The sequence below is a fragment of the Homo sapiens genome, chromosome 9, assembly GCF_000001405.40.
Source record: "Homo sapiens chromosome 9, GRCh38.p14 Primary Assembly".
Taxonomy (NCBI): domain Eukaryota; kingdom Metazoa; phylum Chordata; class Mammalia; order Primates; family Hominidae; genus Homo; species Homo sapiens.
The window spans coordinates 35,610,312-35,628,092 of NC_000009.12; the positions used below are offsets into that span (position 1 = coordinate 35,610,312).

The 17,781-nt window shown below is 49.0% G+C and overlaps 1 protein-coding gene and 1 long non-coding RNA gene across 7 annotated transcripts in view, besides 3 other annotated features; one reads left to right on the forward strand and one right to left on the reverse strand.

Annotated features, from left to right (window-relative positions):
* Positions 1-17,781, reverse strand: part of CD72 (CD72 molecule) — a 36,876-nt gene that overhangs the window by 330 nt on the left and 18,765 nt on the right. The window contains exons 1-8 of one of the 6 annotated variants that reach the window (XM_047424155.1): positions 9,201-9,234; positions 8,431-8,554; positions 7,703-7,810; positions 6,865-6,936; positions 6,289-6,378; positions 5,632-5,967; positions 2,537-2,682; positions 1,493-1,608 (exon numbers count right to left, since the gene is read on the reverse strand). In XM_047424155.1, coding sequence (XP_047280111.1) covers positions 1,493-1,608; positions 2,537-2,682; positions 5,632-5,967; positions 6,289-6,378; positions 6,865-6,936; positions 7,703-7,810; positions 8,431-8,500 — 938 coding nt within the window. In that variant the 5' untranslated portion in view covers positions 8,501-8,554; positions 9,201-9,234. Of the gene's footprint in view, positions 1-290; positions 443-1,492; positions 1,609-2,536; positions 2,683-5,631; positions 6,076-6,288; positions 6,379-6,864; positions 6,937-7,702; positions 7,811-7,910; positions 8,103-8,430; positions 8,555-9,200; positions 9,235-17,781 lie in introns of those variants that run through there. The other 5 variants (NM_001782.3, XM_047424156.1, XM_047424154.1 and 2 more) reach the window with 5 other exon arrangements.
* Positions 5,666-6,517: an enhancer, noted in NCBI's record as "H3K4me1 hESC enhancer chr9:35615974-35616825 (GRCh37/hg19 assembly coordinates)". NCBI's record gives its function as "activates a minimal SCP1, AML or CMV promoter by ChIP-STARR-seq in primed H9 embryonic stem cells {active_cell/tissue: H9 hESC(primed)}" and the evidence as "EXISTENCE:reporter gene assay evidence [ECO:0000049][PMID:30033119]".
* Positions 6,957-7,106: an enhancer, noted in NCBI's record as "active region_28327". NCBI's record gives its function as "activates an Ori minimal core promoter by ATAC-STARR-seq in GM12878 lymphoblastoid cells {active_cell/tissue: GM12878}" and the evidence as "EXISTENCE:reporter gene assay evidence [ECO:0000049][PMID:35858748]".
* Positions 10,610-11,670, forward strand: LOC124902148 (uncharacterized). The gene is made up of 2 exons (XR_007061470.1): positions 10,610-10,698; positions 11,347-11,670. It is a non-coding gene; the product is annotated as an uncharacterized LOC124902148 (long non-coding RNA).
* Positions 17,657-17,706: an enhancer, noted in NCBI's record as "active region_28328". NCBI's record gives its function as "activates an Ori minimal core promoter by ATAC-STARR-seq in GM12878 lymphoblastoid cells {active_cell/tissue: GM12878}" and the evidence as "EXISTENCE:reporter gene assay evidence [ECO:0000049][PMID:35858748]".

Here is a 17,781-nt window from a genome sequence, read left to right on the forward strand (position 1 = left end):
AAGTATCAGTGAGCTCCATGGTTGACTTAACTGAACCCTCATCCCACTCACCCCATCTCCTCCTCAGCTCTCGACAGCCACACCACCAGCCTCCCATAAGTTGTAGGCCTTACCTGTCCCTCCCTGCCCACCCCACCCTAACAAGCAGACCAAGCAACTGGAGGCTGTGGAGGAACTTTCATCCCAGGTACAAGTTTTCTCTCGGGCCCCTGGGCCCCTGCTCTGAGTCCCTGCTCTGAGTCCCTCTGCCCCTGGACTCCCCATGCCTCAGCCCCATCCCTCACTCTTACCAACTCAGTGCAAAGGACTGTCCTAATCTGGAAACCTGAAAGCTGTCATCTCACAGATGTAGGGAAGAGAACTTCTACATGACTCTGACTCCAGTGTCCACCATGACCAAGTTTTATGTACCTTGTTACATTTTGAGCTTTGAGCATAAGTCCTAAAAAGTAGTAAGGTAGAGCTGGGATATGCTCTGGACATATCCCACCCTCCCTTCTCTCCCCTTCCCCTGTATAAAACCTAAATCCTAACTCACCCTGCCTGCCTAAGGCCACATCTGGGCATGGTTCAGGACAGATGTCTGGAGTTCAACTAAAACAGACTTTAGAACCAGCAGAGGGAAAAATAACTCGAGATCTTAAAGATGGGAAGGCCAGGCTGGGCACGGTGGCTCATGCCTGCAATCCCAGCACTTTGGGAGGCCAAGGCGGGTGGATCACAAGGTCAGGACATCGAGACCATCCTGACTAACACGGTGAAACCCCGTCTCTACTAAAAATACAAAAAATTAGCCGGGCATGGCGGTGTGCGCCTGTAGTCCCAGCTGCTGGGGAGGCTGAGGCAGGAGAATGGTGTGAACCCCTGAGGCGGAGCTTGCAGTGAGCTGAGATTGCACCACTGCACTCCAGTCTGGGCGACAGAGCGAGACTCCATCTCAAAAAAAAAAAAAAGATGGGAAGGCCAATTGAGGAACATAAGGAGGTTGCCACCCTGTTTCAGGGTCCCTAGGGTTGATCCTCAATGGTACCCCACTGCTGTCTTGATCACAGTGAAGTGGAGCTTCGATGGTACCCCCGCTGCTCCCTTGCGTACTTCACTGAGGCAGCTCTAGTGCCCCAAGTGGCCGCTACTGAGAAAGTACAACCTCAGTTTGGGTGGCCTTCTCGAAGGATGGAGAAACGCTGCTGTCATCAGCTGTGGAGCCTTAACTAAATCCTTAATGTCTCCCCCTAAAAGATAGCGTAGGTCCCAACCTAGTAGTTACTGAAACAAAAAAGTATGTGCCAGGGACTTCTAGGTGGAAATAGAATGGAGAATAAGATTGCCCTAAGAAGTTATTAATCAAATAGAGGAAACAGACAAATAGGCAATTACAGTGTTGATTTATGGGAGAGTCCTGAGGGGACCAGGTGGGAAGGAAATCTGATTACCATGTCTTTATGGAGGGGATTATGGAGTTGAAAATACCCAGAAGTCCTAACAAACTTACCTAGTGCGTTGTGTATCATCAGTCAACTTCCAATCCTTGTTAGAGCTGAGGCCAGTCCAATATGAATTCCCTGAACCACCATTTGGCAACAGTGAATTTAAGAAGTAGTAAGAGTGCTGAGGGGAGATTCAGAGAGACCAGAGATACATGGAGAGTGATGAGAAATATGGAAGAAAATGCACACCCTAGGGAGGCCTCAGCTTTGGCAAGGGGGCTGTATATATGACAGCTCTTTGGTAACTTGTCCCTGAATCCATCAAGTGCCACCCTGCAGATGCAGGCTCACTGCTAAATTTGCCTTCCAGCTGAGTAAGAATCTCTGCCAGCCTTTGGAGGGGAGTCATTCTGTGTGCTGTTCTGGCCCCAAGGAACTAATCCCTACAATCCAGCCCACCAGGTGTGGGACCTCTCTGCCTGAGAGGCCACAAGAGTCCAGGAACCTGTCAAGCAGCCCAGGGAGCTGACCAGCAAGCTGAGATGAGATACACATTAAAGTAGAGGCCGGGCGCAGTGGTTCACACCTATAATCCCAGCACTTTGGGAGACTGAAGCAGGTGGATCACCTGAGGCCAGGAGTTAGAGACCAGCCTGACCAATATGGTGAAACCCCGACTCTATTAAAAATACAAAAATTAGCTGGGCGTGGTGGCATGTGACTGTAGTCCCAGCTACTCAGGAGGCTGAGACGGGAGAATTGCATGAACCCAGGAGGCGGAGGTTGCAGTGAGCTGAGATTATGCAAGTGCACTCCAGCCTGGGTGACAGAGTGAGACTCTGTCTCAAAAAAAAAAAAATGTAGATATGGTTAAGTTTCCATTCTCATGCCAACTCTAATCAGTTACTAGGGGCTGCCTGGACCACTGTGCTGAGAAGATGCAGAGGTTGTTTCCAAGCTCAGAGGTCAAGAGTATTATGATTCTCAGTTTCTTCCATGGAAAAGGAATGGCCACCCCAGCCATGTGTGCACTGCCATTCCTGACTTGATGACATATGTCCCTTTACCTAATAGTACCCACTGCAGTCTGTGAGTAAGGATATGCTTACTGATTGTGGATAAATTTCACTGAATGTGGCCAGCTTGGAAGACAGAGTTTCACATTGTTTTTGGCTCTCCTGCCAATTTTTTGAAGTAAGTGAGATGTAAAAGCAGCTTTTCTGATGCATTATCCATCCCGACGGACAGCAGGTGTCTAAAAAGCAGAAAGAGTGTGATAGCAGCAACAGTTGGGATGAAAGTGACTACTCAGCAATCTTTTGCTAACAATATTCCCCCAGAGCTAATCTCAGCACCTTCATGGACTTCTATGATCTTTGCAATCTTTCTTTTGCATCCCCTGGAAACACCATACCTGTCCTTACTTAGTAAAAAGACTTTAACATTCAACAACATTACTTCTTAGCAATCTGGGAGGTCTGTCTTAATAGGGCTGATTTTATTACCCCAATTTCTGAACAATTGCAGTCCACCCTGACACTTTACCTAACATCTCTTGGGCCCATCTCCTCCACTCCCTAAAGCACCCCTCACTGCACATCCTCCACTCCTCCAGCACTGGCCCCCTCCGTCCCTCTCCAATTTCCTACAAGCAGAAAATGTTGTGTACTGTTTTGCAGAAACTGAGCTCTCTCCTTTTCCCTCCTCTCCACCTCAAAATTTCTCTTCTCTGTTCTTCTTTTCCTGACTATCCATAAGAAATAAATATCCCTCTTTCTTCAACATCCTACATCCCAATGTGCACTTCTGATCCCAGGCCACCTCTCTCCATTGCTTTGTTCCATCAGTCCTACCTTCATCACTCAAAAATCATTCCCTCTCCACTAGCTCCCTCTCTTCTCTCTACATATGCTCATGTCCCCACCCTGCTACTCCCTTGAGCTACTGTCCTATGGCAACTTAAAGGAATAAAAAGAAATCCCTGCTGGGCACAATGGCTCACTTCTGTAATCCCAGCACTTTGGGAGGCCGAGGCGGGGTGGATCACCTGAAGTCAGGAGTTTAAGACCAGCCTGGTCAACATGGTGAAACCCCACCTCTACTAAAAATACCAAAAAATACCCAGGCACCATGGCGCATGCCTATAATCCCAGTTACTCGGGAGGCTGAGGCAAAAGGATAGCTTGAATCCAGGAGGCAGAGGTTGCAGTGAGCCCAGATCACACCACTGCACTCCAGCCTGGGAGTGCACTTCAGTCTCACAGAGCGAGACTCCGCCTCAAAAAAAAAAAAAAAGAAATCTGTATGGCCAAATGGAAGAGGGTGAGGAGATAAGTGGCACACTGAAAGGTAGGCAGGAGTGATGGAAGCCATGTTAAGGATTTTTATTTTTATATTATGAGGAAGAGAAAGTCAGTGTAGGGTTTTACATAGAGGAATTTTGTTCACTAGCTATATCCCAAGTGCCTGGGCACAGTGCTAGAACATATTATATGTTATGTATTCCATAACTGTTTATGTAATCAATTAACTGGAATGCTGTAGATTGGGTGACACGATCAGATTTTTGTTTGTAAAAGATTACCCTGGCTCCAATATGAAGAATGGACTGCAGGGAGAGGAGTGAGTAGGAAAAACATTTAGAAAGCTGTTGCAGATATCCTTGCAAAAGATGAGGATGGGCAAAAATCCATATGGATATATAGACTTGGTGATGGAAAGTGAAGGGAATTCCTCTCTGAAAGAGTGGAAGATGAGGACATCTGCTGAAAGTGAGGGAGAAGGAGTTACTATGGAGAGCAAGCTGACCATTGCAAAGGTTGCCAGGCAGTGCTGAGAGACTAGAGTCTCAGTGGCACTGAGCAGAATGATTCCACAATTTGTCACACCTTGATGCTGACCATGGGCAGTTGGGTTCATCCAGAGTTCAAATTTTGCCCATCAGGTACACTAGAAGGATAATGGAACAAAGAAGTGAGTGAGCCAGGTGCGGTGGCTCACGACTGTAATCTCAGCACTTTGGGAGGCTGAGGCAGGAGGATCGCTTGAGTCCAGGAGTTCGATACCGGCCAGGGAAACATAGTGAGACCTTGTCTCTATTTAAAAAAATAAGTGAGTAGTTGAAGTGATGGGCTCCAAACCCATGTTAGGTAGGGAGAGAAGTGTGGACAGGAGAAGCTGATGGGAAGAGAGAAAAAGGGGAATCAGTTGATTGGAGGCCTGGACTGATGGGAAGGGAGAAAAAGGGGAGTCAGCAGATTGGAGGCCTTGATGAGATCAAAAAAGTGTGGGGAAAACCTGCAGGAGTGGTGGGCAGCTGTGATCAGAGTGGAAGTCTGAAACCATCCTTTCGCCGGAAGAGCAATTTGGGAGGTAGAGGTCTAACATGCTGCTAAGAGCAGCCCTGGCATGGAACTGATGGTCACAGAGGGTAAGGTTAAGGAAATGAGGGCAAGGGGTGTCTGCACATAATCTTGCTGTCTTATGCCTGGGGAGATCACCCAGATGACCCCCAAGCTAGACAGAGCCTAAACCTGATCATAGCCCAAAAACACCCCAGTCCCCTTAGGCGTGGCACCTTGCCTAGACCCTCAGCCTGTTTTGATACAGCCTTGCCTCTTTTATGTGTCCCTTTCCCCATCTCCACTTACTGGCTGGGGTCCTGCTTTCAAAATGAATGGACACCCCATCCTAGTTCCCTACACCACAACTCCCAGCTCCACCTCACTGTGAGTGCTGAGCGCCTCACTGCCTTGCCCCACCACCAGGTTGCACTCCATGTCAGCCAGTAAGTCTTACCCTTTGGGGAGATCTCAGCTATAACGAAAATTAATTAAAAATGAGGTCCCTGTCTTTAGAAAGATGTGCAAACCGCCAAGTTCACATCCAAATTTGGGGGCGTTCCCAGATCCTTGTCACTGATATCAACCGGAAGAAACCTTGGACAGTGTGATTTGGACTGCTGGCTGCCATCCTCCTCTCCCCTACAGGATGAGCCTTGGAGCTGGGTGGGTCCCCCTAAATCTAGTATGCAGCTTGGTCCTTCTCTCTGTTGGCCAAGGCTGAACAGCTCATGTCAGCCACCACTCTGGTTCACTGCCCCTTTCCTGAACACCTCACAGGCCCCTGGGTGATAGACTCCTGCCACTACTATCTCCTTGCTCCAATCCATCCCTCCCTTCTCTCCTCTCCCCAGAGCGGATACCTGCTGAGCCGCATGTGAAGAAGGGCTTCAGTCTGTTCTCCATGTTGCTCAGCTTCTGCTCCAAGGCCCTCCTCTGTTGCTCCTCACTTTGCAAGGTCTCCTTCGTCTTCTGTCTGTCTGCCTGGCAGGCCTGTAGCTGCCCTTCGGCCGCCTGATGAGCCCTCTGTTCCACCTGTAGTGCTTCCTGACTCTGCGCCAGCTCTCTCCTGGACCCCTGCAGATCCTCTGCACTCTGTCCCAGCTGCGTTATCTTGAGGCGGAGCTGCTGCCTCAGGCTGCTGTTAGTGACTTCCAGAACCCTGTTCGTCTGCTGGAGCTGCTGAGACACCTGCAGATCTGTTTGGCCACAGAGATTTGGTGGATGTCTTCTCCAGCCCTGCCCTAGTGCCCTGAGACTGCAGCATCAGCCCTTTTTCTGCTTCTTGCAACTTTTTGCATCACAGGCTGAAATACAAGATTTGACTGACTAAAGCGTAAGGAGGTACTGGATTAGGTGAGGACAATTCAGGAAGACAACAGCCCTGGCTGGAAACCAAACCCAAAGCTAAGGAGGTGGTGGTAGTGACTATGATCCCTGCTGAGGAAGATCAGCTTTGGGGCGAGAGTCGGGACGAAAGTCGTTCGGTGTAAGTGGGAAGTAGGGACAGCCTTACTCACAGCGCACTCCCAGGCAGATGGCGGTCACTCCTAACAGCAGGCAGGTGAGGAGCAGGCCGAGCAGGAGGTATCGCAGGCAGGTTGTGCGGCCTTAGGGGGACAGTGGGATGGATGAGGGCAGTCAGCCCCCGTAAAGAATGTAGAGAGGAAGGGACAGGTCCGTGGGGGAGACCCCTGGGGAAGGCATCCCTAAGAGGAGGGCGGTGCAGAGCTGAGGGGGCAAGCATGGTGGTTTCTGTCGGGTAGCGGGGTGTTTCGCAGGTAGGGGAGAGGGTGTTCCAGAATCAGTGCTGGTGGGGACTCGGGGGCGTTACCTGGGAGAAGGGGAAGGAAATATCAGACGGAGAGAGGGGAAGGGGGGCAGGTAGGTGAATTGGGACCATCCGCAGGGGGGCGGTGCACGTCGGATTCAGGCGCACCGGATGAAGGTGAATGTGGCACGGCAGCCCGGGCGTCGGAAGGACTGCGCCCGGGTTTATCCCGGAAGGAGCTGCACCCCGCGGGGCCCAGCGCCATCCGCAGCCGGGACAGGCGCGAGCACTTGGCCCCGCGGCTGCCCCGCACAGGCACACTCACAGGGGAGAATCCGCCCGACAGCTGGTGACGTCACGGCTCTCCAGGACGCAGTTGGCTGCTCCGACTTGACCGCTGTCGAGGGGAGCATCCAGTGTGAGACCGGAAGCCCCGAGTGTTGCCCCTTCTCCTCCTGCGCACCCGCTTCGCCCTCGCCACTGGGAAACTCCAGTCTGCCCTACGTTGCCTGCTAGAGCTGCTCTGGGACACAGTGTCACTCTCCTGAGTTCCTCCTCTGCCCGGGACTCTCTCGGCTTCCTCCTGGGTCTCACTGTATCTTTTCCCGGGACCCCCTCATCTCTCCTAGTTCTCCCTTTATCGTTTCCTCAGAGGCCCCTTATCTGTCGGCTCCAAACCCTCTCCCCCTTTGCTCTCATCCATCTCCCATCACCTCTTTTCCCTCCCATGGCTCCCCGTTTCCCATTAGAACTCATCCCCCACAGGGCTGCCCTATCCCTCCGCAGCCCTTATCTCCCCGAAAGGGGTCTCCACCTTGCGGGAGGAATCTTTCTTCCTCCCCTGGCTCCCATTTATCCTGTTCCTATTCTTCTGTTTCCTAAGAACCGCCCTCCTCCTTTCCCCAGGGTATTGTGCTCTCAAGAATACTGAGGGCCATGGCATGGGGGCGCACGCCTGCAATCCCAACACTTTGGGAGGCCAGGGCAGGAGGATCACTTGAGCCCAGGAGGTCGAGGCTGCAGTGAGCCATGATCACACCACTGCACTCCAGCCTGAGTGACAGAACAAGACCCTGTCTCAAGAACAACAACAAAAACATTGTGGACTCCCCAGCTCAAGACACAGCCCCCCAACAAACACACATCCCCCAGGCTCTCCAGACCTGCTTTGTCCCCTAGTACAGAAGAAGCCAAGCTTGAGGGCACCCCTAGGACTGCGGGCACTTGAACATTCTCGTAGGTGATTTCCCCATCATCATCAGCCCCTGGGTCTAGAGAGAAGAGAAAAGGGACCAAGGTGGGATTTGGGAATGGGATCTGTGGGGCGGGAAGTGGGGATGCAGGATCAAGGGGAGGCCTCATCCCCCTTACCCTGTCCTAACCGGCTGGAGATGCTCTTCTTCAGGGGAGCCTTCACAAACCTCAGATCTGCATAGGTGATGGCCTCAGCCATGGTCCTGAGCAGCTCTGCCCCCACTCGTCTTCCCTGTCATCCACTGTCCTCCCTTGCCCCTCTCGTCTCTGTCCGTTTACAACTAGGCTCTGTGTTCCCTCTGTGACTGCACGGCTTAGCAATTGGCCCTGTGACTTCCAGTCACAAAAGAGGAAGGTGTTAGCAAGTCTCAAACAGATGGGCTCAATGAAGCAGAAGGCATCCCTGGGCCAGGGCCAGAGGGGCCACGGAGGGGACGCTGAGGTCCAGAACACAGGGGTAGGGGATGGGCCTGTCCCCATGTCCTCCCTGTGCTTCCTCTCCATGCATCTTAAACCCATATGGGCCATGCTGGGCCCCAAACTCGGTCCTTCTGGTTATCTGCCCTGATCTGCCCCACCCTCCTCCTGGCTGCCTTGTCCACTGGGGCTTATGATGTGTAGCTGGAGCTGCACTGACCCAGACGATCTCCCCAGCTCCAGGGTGAGGCTCCGTTCTCCCCATGAGACTGGGGGTTCCTGGTTTGCATCCCTCGCTTCTCATCATCCTGGGGGTTCCAGTAACTGGGGGTTCAGGAACAGGCCTGGGCCAGAGGTGAAGGTAAGGAAGAGCCATGGCTGCAGCACCTCTGGAAAGGCAAGTGGCAGCACTGCCCCCCATGCACCCTCATGGGGAGCCAGGGAGCAGGTGAGCAAGGGAGTTGCAGAGGGCTTAAGAAGGCTGCAGCTTCCTAGGTGAAGTCAAGGCAGAGGAGCAGAACAGAGCCAGAGGCCGAGCGCAGATTCCGGACCAGCGGAGGTCTTGACATTTTCTTGGTTTGGTTTTGGTTCGTCTCTTACTTTCCTAGCAAAGTTCTTTCTTTAAAAAGTCCCAAAGCTGTCCCTTCCCACCCAGCCCCAAGGAAAAAGGGGGCATTTGTGGCGGAGGACCCAGGGACCGCGAGGCCCTCATAGGTGGTGGGGGCCTGGCTGATGGAGGAGAGAGGGAACCAGTTGGGGGAAAGGGGGCTGCTGAGCAGGGGTGCCCAAAGGTGCTCCCTAATGTTCTTTTACCGGGATGTGACCCCTACTAGGAACCCCAAAATGGCCTACATCCGGGATAGGAAGGAGCTAGAACAAGATGTAGTGTGGGGGTGGGAAGAACCCGCCCCTAGCAAAGTGACATCCGCCCCGCAGAATCCCCCTCCTGCAGCTGTGGGGAGGAAAAAGGAAGGGGGAAAAGGTCCTCACCACATGCCAACAGCTCGGATGATTGGTGGTGTGTGGCAGGACACTGCCAGGGACCCTAGAGCTCTGCCAATAGCTCCGCCCAGCCAGCCCTAGAGGAAGTGGCCACTGAGGCAAAGCTGTGACCTCAAAAATGTACTTGTAGAGAGGCACGTGTGCATGTGTGTGCATGGATATGCATGTTCCCAGGACTTTGCAGTCTGTTAGGGCATCTGTGAGGTGAGCGGCTATGTCAGAGCCTGCCTGGAGGAGGAAGCCTTCTGTGGGCTGAAGGCTGCCTGTGATCACTGTTATTTTCCATGGCAGAGAATGACGGGTCATTTTCAGAAAAGTCGTCAAAGGTCATCACAAGAGATCCTACAAGTATTTCCTTTTTGAAGCTCACTGTTTCCTAAGGTGCCTCTGCAGCTGTTAACTGTCCTTGCTTGATTAAAGTTTCCAACAACCTAGACCTTCCCCCAGATACAGAGAGTGGTATGTGGTGGTGACTCCCTGGGGACCTCAGGGGCCCTGAGAGTGAGTGGGAGGGTATAGAGCAGCTGGTGGCAGGGGTGGGTGGGGTGGGAAGAGTCAAATACTTGAACCTGTGGTGTACAGGGGGTGGGTGTGGGCAGTGTGTGAGTAAATCAATTGCAGGAACATTTGCAGGAGTTCCACAAACTGTAGAATGTCCCAGTTTTCAGATCCAATACACAGGTGAACATGATGTAGATGCCAGGTAAAATGCCAAAACCAAGCTTCTAGTCTGCACTCAAAAAGGTGTCTGTGGCCAACATAGTGAAACCCCGTCTCTACTACAAAATACAAAAAAATTAGCCTGGTGTGGTGGCTCGAACCTGTAGTCCCAGCTACTCAGGAGGCTGAGGCAGGAGAATCGCTTGAACCCAGGAGGTGGAGGTTGCAGTGAGCCAAGATCACACCATTGCACTCCAGCCTAGGCAACAAGAGCAAAGCTCCATCTCCAAAAAAAAAAAAAAAAATGGAATACATGGGCTTGCTGCCTAACTTGACCTGTAGAGAGGCTTAAGAAGGGGATCTCCTGGCCGGCATGGTGGCTCACACCTGTAATCCCAGCACTTTGGGAGGCTGAGGTGGGCGGATCACCTGAGGTCAGGAATTTGAGACTAGCCTGGCAAACATGGTGAAATCCCATCTGTATTAAAAATACAAAATTAGCTGAGAATGGTGGCATGTGCCTGTAATTCCAGCTACTAGGGAGGCTGAGAATTGCTTGAACCCGGGAGGCAGAGGTTGCAGTGAGCCGAGATTGTGCCCATCCTGGGCCACAGAGTGAGACTCTGTCTCCAAAAATAAAAAAAAATAAAAAAAAGAAGGGGATCCCCAGATGGAACTGCACACCGCAATATCTTGAATGTCTTAACCAGGCTTGTTCTATATTTTTCTCCTCTTTAGCTCTTTTGGTGATGGTTACATATCTTTTCATCACAGGCCGCATTCGCTTCTGTCTTAGACCAGCTTGTAGCCTTCCTTTGTGAACAGGGTAAGAGAGTAGGATCCTTCCCCTTCCCCACGTGTGTCACTTGGGGTCTTTACAGTTTTGACATTCACATTACATTTAGAGGCTGGACATCAGAAAAGATACCTGTAACTCCAAGCTGTACCTCTACTGCCCAAATATCAGGGAACTTTTAAGAGGTGAGGGGTCAGTGCTGTACATTTCAGCTTTTCCAGAACCATACTATCATCATCTGAGAGCCTGGAGGGCAGACACTAACACCCATGTTTTGCCCTCTCCTGGCCTCCCCACTACTCATTACAGGGAATGGGTGTTTACGGTTGACAAGAGGAGGGGGCCCAACCATGAGGGCATCAGATAGAATTTGCCATGTGGAAGGGGGCTCACCTGATCAACTTTGTGTCATTGATACAGTCTATGTCAGGACATCGGGAGCATCTCCTAAGACTCTGAAAGTCAGGCTATATCTGTCTTCATTACTTTAACCCACTGGCCTCCGGGAAGCCCTAGTTTACTGACAGGGTGTGGTAGCCAGAATAATGGCCTCCCAAAAATGTTCACACCCGAATCCCCAGAACCTGTGACTATGTCACTTTACCTGACAAAATGTAGATGTGGCTATGTTAATCAAGGTCCTTTAGATAGAGAGATTATCCTGTTTTATCTTGGTAGGCACACTCTGATCACATGAGTCCTTGAAAGGGAGAACCTTTCCCATCATGGGAAGAAAGAGATTCGGTGAGGGAAGGAGGGCCAGAGAGACGCCACAGGAGAAACACTCAACCCATAGGTCCTGATTTTGAAGGTGCAGGAAGAGGACCTTGAGCCAAGGAATGCAAGAAGCCTCTGAGAGCTGGAAAAGGCAAGGAAGCAGATTTTCCCCTTCAGCATCCAGAAAGGAACCAGCCCTGCAGACACCTTGACTTTAGCCCAGTGAGACCTGTGTCGACCTGATCTCCACAACTGTAAGACAATAAATTTGTATTGTTTAAGCCACCAAGTGTGTAATTTATTAGAGCAGCAAGAGTTTCGTGAACTGTGGAGGAAGCATGATGTAATAGAAAGAATAGGGAGACTCTGGTTAAAGAGACCAGCCTTGCCACAGTATGTGACTTTGGGCAAGTGACAGTTTTCCATCTGTAAAATACAAGATAGTCTGACCTCAATCAAGAGTATGATTGCTGGAGACACACTAGGTGTGGACTTTACAAACGCCTCTTTAAAATCTGTCACAAAGGCTTCAGAGTCAGGAGGGAGAAAAATGGGCCACCTGATTGCACCATGAGGGAGACTTGGATTTCTTTGATCACTGAAGCCAAAGAGTACAGATAGGTCTTCGGTGACTTGCCCCAGGCCTCTCCTTGGTCCTGCCTCAAATGGTGACACAGAAAGCACGTTCTCTGTGCTTAATGGCACAGAGCTGAAAAGCAAATACATCAAAAGGCCAACTCAAGATTCAAGCCTTGCAACAAGGCAAAATGATGGCTCCAAACCACAGAATGAAATGTCATAAAAATAATAACAGCAGGCCAGGCACGATGGCTCACGCCTGTTATCCCTTGGGAAGCCAAGGTGCACAGATCACAAGGTCAGAATTTCGAGACCAGCCTGGCCAATATGGTGAAACCCCGTCTCTACTAATAATACAAAAATTAGCCGGGCATGGCGGCGCACACCTGTAGTCCCAGCTACCCAGGAGGCTGAAGCAAAAGAATCGCTTAAACCCGGGAGGCAGAGGTTGCAGTGAGCCAAGGTGGTGCCACTGCACTCCAGCCTGGGTGACAGAGCGAGACTCTGTCTCAAAAAAAATAATAATAATAATAATAATAATAACAGCAAAGTCAGGCACAATGGCTCATGCCTATAATCCCAAGACTTTGGGAAGCTGAGGTGGGAGGATCACTTGGGCCTAGGAATTCGAGACCAGACTGGCCAACACAGCGAGACTCCATCTCTACAAAAAATTTAAAAATTAGGCAGGTGTGATGGCACATGCTTATGGTCTCAGCTTCTTGGGAGGCTGAGTGGGGAGGATTGTTTGAGCCCAGGAGGGCGAGGCTGCTGTCAGCCATGTTTGTGCCACTGCACTCTGGCCTGGGCAGCAGTGAAACCCTCCCTCAAAAAATAAATGAATCAAAATTAAAATAAAAAAAAGATAATACAGCAAGCATTTATTGAAAAATGAAATTTGGAATTCAAAAAATAAATTGCATAAGCATAGGATGGAGGGAGTCCTGGGTTAACAATTGTTTATGTAACAAAGTTTGAGGAGAAAGGCAGTTATTATTTTACACTTGAAGGGATCTTAGAGAGCCCAGCCTGCTTATTTTACAAATTGGGAAACTGGACTCAGCAGGCTGTAAGCGCCTTATAAACTGACCCAGTGACTGGAAAGAAGCTTGTGACAAAAGGCTGCCACATAGAACTGTAGCCCCCTTACCAAATACATCTAACATTGTGCCAGCCACACCTATAGCCCTTTTTTTTTGTTTTGTTTTTTACTTTGTGTTTTTTATCCCATACTTAAATACTACCTATAGCCCTTTTTAAGCAGGCAAACCCCTGCTGATGAGGCAGCCCTAGTCCCCAGAAATTGTGTCTTGTGACCTCCAACCCCTTTGACCTCAGCTGATTAAAATTAGCAAGCGAGGCCTGGCGCAGTGGCTCACACCTATAATCCCAGCTCTTTGGGAGGCCGAGGCAGGCGGATCACCTGAGGTCAGGAGTTCAAGACCAGCCTGGCCAACATGGCGAAACCCCGTCTCTACTAAAAATACAAAATTAGCTGGGCATAGTGGTACATGCGTAATCCCAGCTACTCAGGAGGCTGAGGCAAGAGAATAGCTTGAACCCAGGAGGCGGAGCTTGCAGTGAGCCGAGATTCCACCACTGCACTCCAGCCTGGGTGACAGAGCAAGACTCCGTCTCAGAAAAAAATGGGTTAAAAAGACAAATTTATAAAGGCCAGGCCCAGTGGCTCACGCCTGTAATCCCAGCACTTTGGGAGGCTGAAGTCGGTGGATCACGACCAGCCTGACCAACACGATGAAACCCCATCTCTACTAAAAATACAAAAATTAGCTGGGCGTGGTGGCACATGCCTGTAATCCCAGCTACTCGGGAGGCTGAGGCAGGAGAATCACTTGAACCTGGGAGGCGGAGGTTGCAGTGAGCCAAGATCACACCACTGCACTCCAGCCTGGGCGACAAAGGGAGACTCTGTCTCAAAAATAATAATAATAATAATAATAATAATAATAATAATAATAATAATAATAAATTTAATTTAATAAAAATATAAAATGAGCAAGTGGGCCTCTGCCTAAGGCTGGCCAGTCCATGGACAAGCCAGCGACCTGGACATCAGGATGAGTTTATCAAATGCCAATTTTCAGGAATTTAAGTGGGAAAATATGGAGATGACCACTGAGTTGGCAGTGGGAGTTAAAGATGAAAGGATGTATAGAGAGCATCTACCTTGACCCACAGAATTCTCCATACCTAGCGATCGTGCCTGGCTACTCCTAGCTCACATACTTAGTGGGGAGCGATTACCCTGGCAGAGGTGACTGAACCTGATTGCCTGATTATCATGAGGGGTTAGGGCTGCTGCTACATACTGTAGGAATGTCCAGGCACACCTCATTTTATTGCACTTCACTTATTACGCTTCACAGATACTGAGTTTTTTACAGGTTGAAGGTTTATGGCAACCCTGTGGCAAGCAAGTCTACTGGTGCCATTTTCCAACAGCACGTGCTCACTTCGTGTCTCTGTGTCATCACATTTTGGTAATTCTTAAAATATTTCAAACTTTTTTCATTATTATTGTATCTGTTATGGAGATCTGTGATCAGTGATTTTTGATGTTAATATTGTCATTGTTTTGGAGCACCATGAACCATACCTATAAGACATTGAACTTAATAAAAGTTGTGTGTGTTCTGACTGCTCCACTGACTGGCTATTCCCTGTCTTGCTCCCTCTCCTTGGGTCTCTCTATTCCCTGAGACACAACAATCTTAAAATTAGGACAGTTAATAACCCTACAATGGTCTCTAAGTGTACAAGTGAAAGGAAGAGTTGCACATCTCTCACTTTACATCAAAAGCCAGAAAGGATTAAGGTTAGTGAGGAAGGCATGTCCAAAGCCAAGATAGGCCAAAAGCTAGGCCTCTTATGCCAGTTAGCCAAGTTGCAAATGCAAAGGAAAAGTTCTTGAAGGAAATTAAAAGAGCTACTCCAGTGAACACAGAAATGATAAGAAAGCAAAACAGTCTTATTGCTGATATGGAGAGCGTTTGAGTGGTCTGGATAGAAGATCAAACCAGCTACAACATTCTCTTAAGCCAAAGCCTAATCCAGAGCAAGACCCTAACTCTCTTCAATTCTCTGGAGGCTGAGAGAATTGAGGAGGCTGCAGAAGAAAAATCTGAAGCCAGCAGAGGTTGGTTCCTGAGGTTTAAGGAAAGAAGCCAGCTCTATAACATAAAAGTGCAAGGTGAAGCAGCAAGTGCTGATGTAGAAGCTGCAGCAAGTTATCCAGAAGATCTAACTAAGATCATTGATGAAGGTGGCTACACTAAACAACAGATTTTCAATGCAAACTAAACAGCCTTTTATTGGAGAAGAGGCCATCTAGGACTTTCATAGCTGGAGAAGAAAAGTCAGTGCCTGGCTTCAAATCTTCAAAGGACAGGTTGACTCTCTTGTTAGAGGCTAATGCAGCTCGTGGCTTTAAGGTGAAGCCAGTGCTCATTTACCATTCTCAGAATCCTAGGGCCCTTAAGAATTATGGTAAATCTATCCTTCCCGTGCTCTATACATGGAAGAACAAAGCCTGGATGACAGCACATTTGTCCACAGCACAGTTTAGTGAATATTTTAAGCCCACCATTGACACCTACTACTTCTCAGAAAGAAAATTCCTTTCAAGATATTACTGCTCATTGGCAATGTGCCTAGTCACCCAAGATCTCTGATGGAGATTAACGTTGTTTTCACGCCTAACTTCCATTCTGTAGCCCGTGGGTCAAGAAGTAATTTTGACCTTATTTAAGAAACACATTTTGTAAGGCTACAGCTGCCATAGGGATTCCTCTCATGGATCTGGGCAAAGTAAACTGAGAACCTTCTGAAGAGGATTCGCCATTCTAGATACAATTAAAAACATTCACGACTCATGGGAGGGGGTCAAAATATCAACATTAACAGGAGTTTGGAAGAACTTGATTTCAACCCTCATGGATGACTTGGAGGAGTTCAAGACTTCAATGGAGGAAGTAACTGCAGCTCTGATGGAAACTGCAAGAGAACTACAGTTAGAAATGGAGTCTGAAGATGTGACTGAATTGGTGCAATCTCATGATCAAACTTGAACAGATGAGGAATTGATTATTATGAATGAGCAAAGAAAGTGGTTTCTTAAGATGGAATCTACTGGTGAAGATTATGTTGAAATGACAACAAAGGATTTAGAATATTCTATAAACTTAGTTGATAGAGCAGTGTCAGGGTTTGCGAGGATTGACTCCAATTTTGAAAGTTCTGCTGTGCATAAAATGCTACCAAACATTGCATGCTACAGAGAAATCTTTCGTGAAAAGAATCAATGTGGCAAACTTTATGTTGTCTTATTTTAGGAAATTGCCAGAGCCACTCCAGCCTTCAGCAACTACCATCCTGATCAGTCAGCAGCTACCAACATCAAGGCAAGACCCTCCACTGGCAAAAAGATTATGATTCACTGAAGGCTCAGATGATCATTAACATTTTTTAACAATAAGGTATTTTTTAATTAAGGTATTACATTGTTTTTTAAGGTATAATGCTACTGCACACTTAATAGACTACAGTATAGTATAAACATTACTTTTTTTTTTTTGAGATGGAGTCTCGCACTGTCTCCCAGGCTGGAGTGCAGTGGCACAATGTCAGCTCACTGCAAGCTCCGCCTCCTGGGAGTTCAGCTACTCCCGAGTAGCTGGGACTACAGGTGCCCGCCACCATGCCTGGCTAATCTTTTTGTATTTTTAGTAGAGAGGGGATTTCACTGTGTTAGCCAGGATGGTCTCAATCTCCTGACTTCGTGATCTGCCCACCTCGGCCTCCCAAAGTGATCGGATTACAGGCGTGAGCCACCACGCCCGGCCTTTTTTTTTTTTTGAGATGGAGTCTCACTCTGTTGCCCAGGCTGGAGTGCAATCTCAGCTCACTGCAACCTCCACCTCCCGGGTTCAAGCGATTCTCCTGTCTCACCCTTCCAAGTAGCTGGGATTACAGGCATGCACCACCAGGACAGGCTAAATTTTTTTTTGTATTTTTAGTAGAGACAGGGTTTCACCGTGTTCCCCAGGCTGGTCTCAAACTCCTGAGCTCAAGCAATTCACCCACCTCGGCCTCCCAAAGTGCTAGGATTACAGGCGAGAGCCACTGCGCCCGGCTAAACATAACTTTTATATGCATTGGGAAACAAAAAAAAAATCCTGTGATCGTTGCAGTGATCTCAAACCTGAACCCACAATATCTCTGAAGTATGCCTGTATCTGCATGTTAGGGGATTCATGGGTGCCCCTTGGTGTTCCATGCTCAGTGATATATTGGGCAACTTTAACCACCACAGCCTGGAAAGAACCCAGTTATCAGAAGGCTCAGAAATGAAGGTCTGGCTCACCCACTGGGCAAGTAATTCAGTCCAGCAAGAAGTACTGCTTGAGAGTGAGGGGAGTCTAGTGTGGACAGAAGGGGAGGAAAATGAAGAATGTCAGTTGCAGTCTCAGAACCAACCACAGCACTGGGGATTTTAGCTTGTCCCACTGATGCTCCTATGATAAGTTTTTGTACCTCTTTTTTTTTTCTTTTTTAATCAGAGTCAGCGTCTCACTCTGTCACCCAGGCTGGAGTACAGTGGTTCGACCATAGATCACTGTAGCCTCAAACTCCTGGGTTCAAGTGACCCTCCCACCTTAGCCTCCCAAGTAACTAGGACTACAGGCACTCACCATCACACCAGACTAATTTTGTTGTTGTTGTAGAGACAAGGTTTCGCTATGTCGACCAGGCTGGCCTTGAACACCTGGCCTTAAGCAATCCTCCTGCCTCAGCCTC